This window comes from Homo sapiens, chromosome 2 (assembly GCF_000001405.40).
Source record: "Homo sapiens chromosome 2, GRCh38.p14 Primary Assembly".
Lineage (NCBI taxonomy): Eukaryota > Metazoa > Chordata > Mammalia > Primates > Hominidae > Homo > Homo sapiens.
In genome coordinates, this window is record NC_000002.12 from 216,907,749 (window position 1) to 216,918,916 (window position 11,168).

Consider the following 11,168-nt stretch of genomic DNA (forward strand, 5'->3'; position numbering starts at 1 on the left):
AGTAGGCATTATTTTCTTAGCTTTATAAGTGAAGGAATGAAAGCTCACAGAATGTAAATAGCTCATCCAAAGTTCCAAAGCTAAGGAGGTGTAGAAAGGAGAATCAGTTTCAGGTCTGTATCTCCAGTGTGCTGTCTTTCAAACCAGAGAGCTAGTTAAAACAATTACCAGCCCTTAGACCAGCTGCCTGGTCACCATGTCACCCAGACATCTCCCTTTGCACTGTGGGCATATGTGAACCCCCACATGAAGGCTTTGTCATTCCCTAATTATCCAGGTTTGTTACTGATCAGTCATACTCCTGATTTGTCCTAATTGTGTGTGTGTGTATGTGTGTTTGTTTCCCTTAAGAGGAAGGCAAGTTTCCTTAAAAAACAACAACAACAAAAAAAACACATACGGAGTAAGAAAATTTACCAGTTTACTATTAACAAACTTAAAAATTCAAAAAAAAGGGGGATTCTGAGGGAACATGAAAATTTATATGGGACTAGATAATGAATAAATATATTCACTAAAAATATGGCACCCTTACTTAGTGCTCTGCCTTTTTAAAAGACATGATACACATCTTCTTGGTACGGTATATCCACTATTATCCATTCAATTTCCATTTATTTCCCCGTTTGCTAGAACTTTTCAAGCTTTCACTCCCCTGCTGTTTTAATGACAGGCTAGATGGTCATTTTGCTTTGCTTCCTATAATGAGCGAGTTAAAAGGCATGTTTTCTGCATCTGCTCGCCACACAATGGCCAATGTGATTTTACAACTGGGATGCTAAGGCAGTCTGTGGAAACACAGTGGGCCCTGGTCAGTTGGAATGTTTGAATGCTTCGGTTAACTTTTATTGAACTTGCTTGGAGAACTGCATGGGCCTTTCTCAAGCCTCCTCAACACATGTGATTTCAAAGGCTTAGCCCTCTGGAAGTCTTAGCCAGTACCCCCGCACCCATCAATTCCCTTCCTCCTGTAATAGTGATTACTGGTGCTCTTCTCTCTTTCATGACTTCTTTGCAAAACTTTCAACTTTTTCTTAACGATTTTACCTCTTTTACCTATTTCTTGCAAAGACTTACCACCTTTTCTGATTATTCTCAACAGAAGAGCTCACTGGAACACAAGACATCTTGGATGAGGAATATGTAAAACACAGATAGACCCATGTTCTCTAAATTCAAATGCTTCATTAAGGGGAACTGGAGGGTCAGAAACAATTAGTATGTCTTGGCTAGTTATAAAGAAAATTCAGCATTTGATAAAATGCTATAGTTTCCTTAAAATTTAAGTTTTTAAACGGACTTCTAAACTTTCTTTAGCTATTAAAGATTGTTATTGGAATAGCCCACTTTACAAAATTTAGTACAGTTACTTGCAAAAATGTGATATTTTGAGATCTGTAAAAATTCAAAACCAAAGAATTATGATACTTTGAATAGAGAGTAAATGAATAAATCCATAGTTGATCCCATTATGATGTTTATATTCTTATTGGTAAGGAGTAAGTACAAAGCAAAATGCTGGGCTGGATGACTCAGGCTCTGCTAGCTGAACCACACGGGATGGGTCCTTGGAACCTACATAAGTGTGGGTGCTCATCTGCAGAATGAGAGCGTCAGATACCATGATCCCTCTGGATCTGTAACTTGAAGATCTGGGATTTTCAGGAAAAGTTGAACAAAGCTTAGCAGTTGGTTCCAAATTATCTGGCCCTTCCTGCTTTTGTTGCTCACCACATCTGAAAGGTGGCATCCTTAACACTGAGGTCCAAGCCAGCTAAAGGCAGGAGGTCAACTTTGTATGCACAGTCCGTTTCCCCTTCACCTGTTGTTTGGTTGTTTTTGTGCCACGGGTCTTGTGCTCCTTCCTCTGTCCGGCCTCGGAGCTGGGCCTCCCTCACATCAGCACCATTTTGGCTGTAAGCTGCTGGAGCAGCTGCTGCCCGGGAGGGCTCTGCTCATGTCCTGAGCTGACACATGACAACTTCTATTAGGCTGAGGTGCTCCGAGGGAAGCCAGTGGGCTCTACCAGCCATCTCCCTTCTGTTTCCCCATCTGCTGGCTCCCAGGGAGGTGGTGGCAGAACTTAGGTAAAAGAGCACATCCAAAGTGAGGACATGGTGAAGACCTGGAGGGATTGCACTCTCCCTCTTTGTCAGATGTTGCCTGGCAGGGGTGGAACCTGTCCCTTAGGAGAGAATGGGGTGACTCAGACTAGCCTGGCTCATGCTGAGGACGTCCAGTCTGCCTCCCACCATCCCTGCTGGGAGTCCCCACTTGGAAATCATATTTGCAGCTTGGGTTAAACATGACCAGGTGCTCCACAGAGGCAGTGCCAGAGGATTCTTGGCATGGCCTCTGCACTTGTTTGAATGTTGTGGCTTTTAATATTTATCCCAGTTCTTATGTGTGTTTGTGAATGCCCGTGCACATGTGTTGCAGTTCCTTCCCAGGGTCCCCCAGCATAGGGATGTTCCCATCCATCAAACAGGAAGAGCAACAACAGGTTGTAGCGGGGAGCTGGGGCAGACTGCGTGAGGGCAGGGCCTGGGGAGCCTGAGGGGCCAAGCCATGTGTTCTGCTGTTAGTTCATTGGGCTGACAAAGTGGGAGGCTGCTGTGCTGGGACCCCCTCTCTCAGCCAGGGGTCCTATAGATTCCCAGACGCTACAGCTTGAAGGGAGGGGCCTGAGAGGTGATGTGGTTCAATGCTTTTATTTTCTGAAGATGAAAATGAGGCCCAGAGAGGGGCAATGGCTTGTGAAAGACACATCTAATTGTAACAGGAGCTGAACCACCAAAATCTAGGCTGTGAGTGTGCAGGCCCTTAGCTGTCTCCATTGGTGCTCTGGGGTCCAGGAAGAATCTATTGACGAATAAGCCAGCTCAGGCCTCTACATCCTAAGTCAATGCTTATACAATGCTTCCTTCTCCACCAAGAAGGACTCTAAGATTTCTTATGGTTTTGGGACTGTACGTCCCCGTTTCTTTTGATTTGCCCTACTCTAACCCTCTGAAAAGCATGCCAGTTTGGATAATAAATCATATGGTCTCATTATTTAGGATTGTCTCATTTTCTAGAATGCTGCTTCTTTGAACATATATATTCCTGGGCCAAAGAGTTCCTGTGACTGCCAGCTCAAAGCTTCACAGAAGTTCTGATGAGTTCCTGGATGCAGGTGGTGGGAGCTCTAGTGAACACATGTGAACTCAGTTACTCATGACTGGATTTATCCTAACAAAGGAATTCAAAAGCAACTGTCTAGAATTCATTTGCCTCATCTGTAAAATGGCAGAGCTGTAGTGGGTGATTCTAAGGCCCCTGACAACTCAAAAATCTGCATCCACAAATTAATTTCAGGGATCATTCTGCCCCTTGCTATGTTGGTGGTGGTTATCTAGCTTCTGCAGTGAGGTGATTGGGCCCATCTGGATAGTGCCTTAGAGGTTGTGTGTACCAGACGCCTAACATGAGAGATAGTAGCTTTACAGCCAAGATGACAGATGCCTGTCCCTGCCCTTCCTTCTGGTTCCCAAATCACAATCTCTAAGCACCGGGTCTGAGGAGAGCCCAAGGACACATGGGGAGGCCGGACTCCCATTTCCTAGTCCTTACCCTTTGTCCTTCATGTTACCCTGCCTAGTGTGTAAAACCTGGGGCTCCCAGAAGGTAGGGCATGGGCTGTGGGGGAGGATTGCTGACTTCTCAGTATAAGGCTGTTCTCTAGCAGTGCTACCCAAAAAGAGGGGTGACAAAGAGGCCCCCATCTCCTAGGCCCTCAGACCAATTAGATGCCTGATCTTGGGAAAACACAATCTCCCTAGGGAGAGCTTGTTCTTAAAAACATGATGTGTAAATCATGGTTTTGTCTTTCCAAACAGACAAAAGCTACCTCCAGCTACATTTATTGAGAGCTGTGAAATATCATGGGGCCTCATGGAGTGGCAGTTAAGTCAGGTTGCCCAGGTCCAAATCCTAGCTCAACCATTCTAGCCGTGGACCTTTGGTAACGTTCTTTCTTAATCTCCCTCATGCTCATTTGCAAACATCCTTATAGGGCTATTTTGAGGATTAAATGCGATGATTCTTATCACAGGCAGAATACGGTGCCCACAGTGGTGAGTGCTTTGTGATCGTAGTGAATACATTGGACTTTTGGTACTTACAGTCCTTTGATCACTGAAAGGGGCCATGGCTTCAGGAATGATGCATAAACCCATTCTGTGCACTTCAGCAGGCAGGCAGGGTTTGGGCATTGGGTCAATGCAGAAGGAGGAGGAAGAATTCTGCAGTCACTCTGGGGCTGCTGCTCTCATCAGTGAGTCACTAATGGGCATCAGGAGATCCCCTTAGAAGGAGGTGCATGTGCCTGAGCCTCAGGCAAAATTGGCCCTGGTCATGGTTCTCAGGCTCTCTTCTCAATGCCAAGGGGGAGACATCTGGGGAGGTTGTGAAGGACTATCAAGTTCTTATGATTCTGATGTGTTTATGGCAGTGAGTAAAATTCATAGGTCATTTATGAGCTTTGCCTCCCATTTCACACAGCTGGTCCTTTTTAGTCAGGCTGTACATGCTCCAGAAAGAACTCAGCATCAGCACCTGGAGGGGCACCTTCTCCTCCCAGTCCTGGGAGGCTCTGAGAGGGGAGGCCAGGAGAGAAGTGGAGGGTGAGGCTGATAGCCTACCTGTGCAGCACTCGGGCCTACCTCCAATGGCCTGAACCACATTCTTCTCCAGCACATGGTCCTGGGTGAGGAGGGCTAGGGCTAGAATTCATCCACTCTCTGGATGGGGTCCTGAGTCCCAGCACTCTTTGGGACCTAGAGGTTCACCTGTGATATTTTCCTGATGATATCCACAGTTTTAATATAGTCTGGCTCCCTGAAGAGAACCAGTGGTACACACAAGACATTGGGAAGGTAACTGTCCATGGGCTAGGATAAAGAAAGTCAATTCTGGTGGCTCTTGTTCATTGAAGTCTAATAGGATTTAATCCTAGGTTAAAGAAAGGATTTGCTTTACTCAAAACTACTCTAAGGTACTGTGAAACAAAGTTTAAGAATCGTTCACAGCTTAACGTGAAACAGATATGGGCCTGATCTTGACAAACTGGCTGTGGACACAAAGCTCAAGTCTCTTCCTCCTGACCACAAAGATAATGACCTTCACAAATATCTTGTGGGAAGAGACAATGAGATTCCCAGTCAAGTGCTAAGTCTTGGTAAGTTCAATTTCAGATAACCTCTTCTTCTTCCTTTCTTTCCTTAATTCATGTAGTTTTCTCTGTCTCTTCAGTGTTTTTCTGACTTGATGGTGCCTGGTCAAGAAAGGGCCATAGAACAAGTCAATACCAGAATAAGCCATGTGGAAAAGGGCAGCTGAACACAATCTGCTCCTGTCTGAATTAGTGCCTACACTGGTGATCTGGCTTATTGGTGGGAAGTCATCTGTCATCCAGACACCCAGGGGGCCAGGTGCTCCATGTTTAAATTATGTAAAGATTATTAGAGAGATAAACCTGCAAAAGTGTCTCTGGCACCAATGAGAACAGGCACGGATAAGAAGGGGCAAGGTGGCCAGGTGCGGTGGCTCACGCCTGTAATCCCAGCACTTTGGGAGGCGGAGGTGGGCGGATCATGAGGTCAGGAGTTCGAGACAATCCTGGCCAACATGGTGAAACCCCGTCTCTACTAAAAATACAAAATTAGCCGGGTATGGTGGCACACACCTGCAGTTCCAGCTACTCAGGAGGCTCAGGCAGAAGAATCGCTTGTACCTAGGAGGCGGAGGTTGCAGTGAGCTGAGATCGTGCCACTGAACTCCAGCCTGTGTGATGGAGCAAGACTCCATCTCAAAAAAAAAAAAAAAAAAAAAGGTGGGGGGGCAAAGCTTCGGTGGAACAAATGGAAGCTTAGACGCCAAGAAAGCATTCCCAATAGGAAAGAGGTGTCCTCCCCGGGAGGGCTATGACAATAAGAGGCTCATGTGTATGGCCCAGGAAGAAGGTTTTCTGTAAAAAAGGCAGGGATGGTTGACTTTTCAAGGCATTTAGCCACCTGAGGGGTCTGCCACCTACTCTCCAAGGGCACTATGTCATGGCTCTTACCAACAGAAAAAAAATCTTAACTCATTTGCTTTGCTGATAGAATGGAAATCCCAGAGGCATGAGGCTTATGCCCAGAAAGTGGCAAAGACTGAGCCAGGTTGAATGCACATCTTCTGACTTCCACCCTGGTTGTATGTGGAAGGCAGCCTCCGAGATGGCCCCCAGTGATCCCTGCCTCCAAGTAGTCACACCCTTGTGGAACCCCTTCATGTTGAGCATGAGCTGGACTTAGAGTAAGTCAGTCTTATTTACACTAGACTTGCTTCTAGTGGAGAAAATACAGCAGAAGCAATAGAATATCACCTCTAAGGTTAGGTTGTAAAAAGACTGAGGCTTCTGTCTTTGGTGCCTCCTCTCTCTCTCTCTCTCTCTCCCCCTCTGTCCCAGGTATTTAATAAAGGTATGTTGATTGACACAGGAATTATTCCATCCATAAGTTGTAACCTTGGTATCGGAGGAAAAAGCAATGTAGGACTAGATGTCATCTCTGCAGCGGGAATAACTGGACTGAGGTATTCAGTAAGCAACATTCTCTGCATCTGGGATTCTATGGACATCAACACTCACTTGCACACAGATGGTTTCTCTTTCCCACCCCCATTCTCAGTGTGTGAAATCATTCCAGCATCTAAACTGCCATCTTCATGCATGGTACCTCAACTCTGTGCTCAGGAGCCAGAATAATCCATGCAGCCAAGTCTGTGCCCTGGCTGAATGAGAGAGGATGACTGGAGGCTAGATTCACCAGCTGGGAGAGCCCATGGTTACTTTTCTGGCTTTGTCCTCACCCAGCATGACAAAGCACCAGCAACTATGGGCTGCCCCAGAGGGCACTGGAGGCATCTGACCTTTTCATCCCTAGGAGTCCGTGGTCTTAAGAGAAGAACGACATAATGGCCCTCTGTTCTTAGTGGGCTCTGCTGAGTTAAGCTGGGTTGATGGAGAGAATGGTAAAAGCCCTGGGGGAGCAAGGGTCCCCGAAGGTCATCTTACCCATTCTTCTGCCTCTGGGAAGGGTAGCTAATTAGCAACTTAGTAGGTCAAAGATGCAATGAGAAGGTGAGTCTGATCACCCTTTACTTTGGGATGTACAGAAAGGAAGATTCTACAGTTTCCTTAGTTAATAATCTGGTACCTCATGTCCTGGATGCTCAGTTCTTCCTGCTTCTCTTTTCATCCAACGGTTCCCTGTTTTTGTCCAAGCAACCTTATTCTGTCTGAGGTTCAGCTGATTCTGGAGACTAAATCTTCATAGCCATTAAAGAATTGCTTTTGGCCCCTGCCACACTCATACTTCCTCAGACTTCATCTTGAAGGTTTTCATTAAGAACAGAATTTATGTAACTAAAGTCTGGGCAAGGCATAGATGATGAGGAGGTGACAACGATAAACAGATAAGTTAGGGACTTCAGGAACTTCGATGCCATGCGAATCCTTTGGCCGTAAGCATCTTTCTATGTCACTTGAGGAGTTTGGATGTGTGCAGAAGCTCAAGAAGATAAGTGGTCAAGAGAAGATCACCTCGGTCAAGGCAGATCTAAGTCCAATACATGGACTTTTGCCTTTTTGTCTTGTAGTCTTTCCAAAGATGTCAGTTTCGTAGGCCTGAATCACTGTACAGGATGTGACTGCTTGCTTTTCTGGAGAGAAAAGAGGAAAATAAAAATCCCATCCTTTCTCAAAAAATAAGAGTAATAAAGCTCTTTAGTCTCATTAAACAGGCGTGTTGGACTTCAAATAACTCTCATCACATAACATGTTGATGAGTTAAGTGTTAATGAATCAGAAACATATGGATACAATTTCCCTGAAAATACACAAGGGTTTTGGAATCAAGGGGAGTCACCCCTACCGCCAGCCCTGCCCACCTCCTTGGCTCTGGGCTCAGGAGTTAGGATCTTGCCTCCCCTCCTGGGCTCACTGATGGGGCTGCTCCCTTTCTGGCCACCCAGACTGCTCTCAGCTTCTCCCTGGAATTCCTCCTCTCCTGTGGCTTAGTGGCCAAGTGGCAGGGGTGGGCTGAGAGATGAAAGGTCAACTGCTGAGAGAAATGAATGACACAGGGAAGAGAGGCCCGGGAGTTGTCGGCCCAAGTGCTCAGGAGATGGGCCACGTGCTGTGTGCGGGAGGGACCCGTGCTGGCGGCTACATGCTGGCTTCAGGTCTGGGGCTCTTCGGAAAGTAGTTTAAGATGTTTTCTTTCTTTCCAAGCAATATGAAATTCTCTTGATCCGTACTCACTGATTTGTGTTTTCCGGGTTGCCAGGGTTTCCTGGAGATTGCGCCTGCATCTTTGCAGGGGCTGGGACAGACAATTCGGAACTCACCAGGACGGGCACTTCTGAGCAGAAATCATGCCTTGGGGTCACCTCAACTTTTCAGAGTATGTCTCACTTGCCTCACACAAAATCCCACTGCCTTCCATGCCAGGTTAAAGTGGCTTAAAGTAGATGAAAGGACTTGCCTGTGGACCTGGGAGTTCTGCAGCCCGACCCAGCTTCCAGTGAACAGTTTCAGAGCTGGGCAGTGTCTGTGGAGTGAGGGGCCCAGTTCCTTCTTTCTTCTTGCCTGAGGTTCTCAGATGGTTGACTGTCACCCAGGCAGACCCAATAGTGGCGCATAGGGACACACTCCATGCAGGAGTGTGGATGATCCCCATATTAGATTCTTTAAGCCCCATCCTAAATTCATTTTGGGTTCCCTCAGAGTATACCTTGAAGAGAGAATTGTGGTGCAATGATTTATTCATGAGGTGATTCCAGGAAGCATGGTAGAAAATAGGGAATGTTGGGCCTGATGTGGTGGCTCATGCCTGCAATCCCAGCACTCTGGGAGGCCGAGATGGGTAGATCACCTGAGGTCAGGAGTTCGAGACCAGCCTGGCCAATATGGTGAAACCCTGTCTCTACTAAAAGTATAAAAATTAGCTGGGCATGGTGGCGTGCGCCTGTACTCTCAGCTACTCAGGAGGCTGGGATGGGAGAATTGCCTGAACCTAGGAAGTGGAGGTTGCAGTGAGCTGAGATCGCACCACTGCACTCCAGCCTGCGTGACAGAGCGATATTCCATCTTAAAAAAATAGGGAAAGTGGGATGTGGGAAGCAGATGTGTTAATGAGTGGGTTGTTTGTGTGGGCACCTGGGCTCAGTCTGGATGGGGATATTTGGAGAGGCACTCCCTCTAGGAGGAAACTGGGTGTTTATTTACCAACTCCCATTCCTCATGGGTTGCTTCTGAGACGCTCACCTCTGTGCTCTCAACCCGCTCCATGTGTAAGTAGATCATATTCCTGAGGCCAGAGAAAGCCCCAGGGCAGAGAGATGATGGTGGCTGAGGTAGGAAGCTGTTGGAGTGGCTGTGGGTGACCTTCAGGGAGGAAGAAGGGAAGAGGGGCTGGCACAGACATCATCTCCTGCAAGGGTCTGGATGTGCTCCCACTCCCCTTCTTTCTGCTTTTTGAGACTGATTCACTTCTCAATCAAGTCTTGGATGCAGAAGGAAAGAAGGGAGCAAAATAAATTAGGTACCCCCAAATGCGCTTGTTTGTGGGGACTAGAGAGTTGAAGGTATAAATGTGTGTTTGCATTGCTTGCCAAGCTGTGACTCAGAGTGTCTGGCCTGAGAGTGGCAATGCCCACAGGCCCCCAGGGCCCACTGCAAACTGCACAGGGGGCTGAGCTCTCCTACCTGTCCTGGCTTTTGGCATTTCTGGCCTGGCATAGTCATTTAAAACCTTGGTTTGGGGTCTTTTTATTTTTCTTTCCACACTTCCTGGAATCACTGGTCAGCTTCAGAGCCAGGCTGTTGCTCTGAAAGTCCTGGGAGAGGGGAAGAGAGCAAGATGGACGAGTGCAATGAAACTGTGACCCTCCTTCCTATGACGGGGCGAGCGTTATCATGCTAAGGCCAGGAATTAGGTATTCTTCATGCCCAGAGAAGACAGACGAGGGGGAAGATGGGACAGCCAGGTGGAAGCTGGGAGACTGAAAGATTATAGCTTTTAAGAGGATCCTGTCCAGATTTGATGGCCTCTGAGGGGCCTCCTTGTTTTCTACATACAAAGTTTTTCTCCCATGCAATATTGAAATCGTGCTTTAAGGCATTCATGTTAATCCATTCTTTATTTCTTAATTTCACATCATGTTCCTTAGCCTTAAAAAAAAAAAAATAAGGTCAAAGGCAGTTTTGCCACTGTCCTCGAAGATGATTGAGTTGGGGGGTGGACTGGCAGTCAGCCTTCAGGAGGATCCTGCCAGGTAAGGGGAGGAGCCACCCTTGGCTCTGAGCCACTGGGACAGAGTAGAGAGAGGTACAGAAATGGAGATGAGCAGGGGTGGAGTGGAAGAAGAAAGGATCATGCCTTGGTCATCTTCTCCTCTCTCTCCTTCCCCGGTGATTCATGCCGTCATCACTTCCCATCTCAGATCCTGGGCTCACAGCCATCCCAAAGCCTTTCCTGCTCTGCTTGGCTGGAAACAGATGCAGACTGACAGATGTCTCCTTCAGGAACTGTGACATCTTCACACCCATCCTGGGGCAGCCACTCCCTTCCAGGCCTCTGCCGAGAACAGCTCTTCTTAGGGCTTTCCCAAGGCCACCAGGCCTGGTCCTGACACCCTCCAATACCGGGCGTCTTCTCTCCCAGCTCTTTCCCCCTCCACCAGCCTCCAAGCACCCTCCTCTCCTTGCATGCACCCCACTCAGTCCTATTGGCTTCCAGTGCCTTAATGTGACTTTCCCCTTCCCTCTTGCTCGGTGCAGTTCCACCCCTCTTAAGATCTTCTCACTCTTTCTTCCTCTTGCTGGAATGATTTGGTTGTGGGGTTGGGTGGGGGGTACATGCTCTTAGGAGTCCCCTTCAGCCAGTCAAATGCCCACATCCTCTGACTGCCTCTTCTACCCCACTTGCTGCCCCACCCCCTTTCCTTGGCTTGGCCTGCCTTTCCTGACAGTGACAGTCCCTTTCCACATCCTAGGGTGCTGTGAGAACCAAACAAGACCATATACATGAAGTGCGTTGTAAACTGTAAAATCTCCAAAAGTAGGCCGGGCGCAGTGGCTCACA

At 47.4% G+C, this 11,168-nt stretch overlaps 1 annotated feature.

Annotated features, from left to right (window-relative positions):
* Positions 1,738 to 2,032: a silencer, noted in NCBI's record as "tiled region #9678; K562 Repressive non-DNase unmatched - State 18:Pol2". NCBI's record gives its function as "represses a minimal TATA promoter and a strong SV40 promoter by Sharpr-MPRA in K562 cells {active_cell/tissue: K562}" and the evidence as "EXISTENCE:reporter gene assay evidence [ECO:0000049][PMID:27701403]".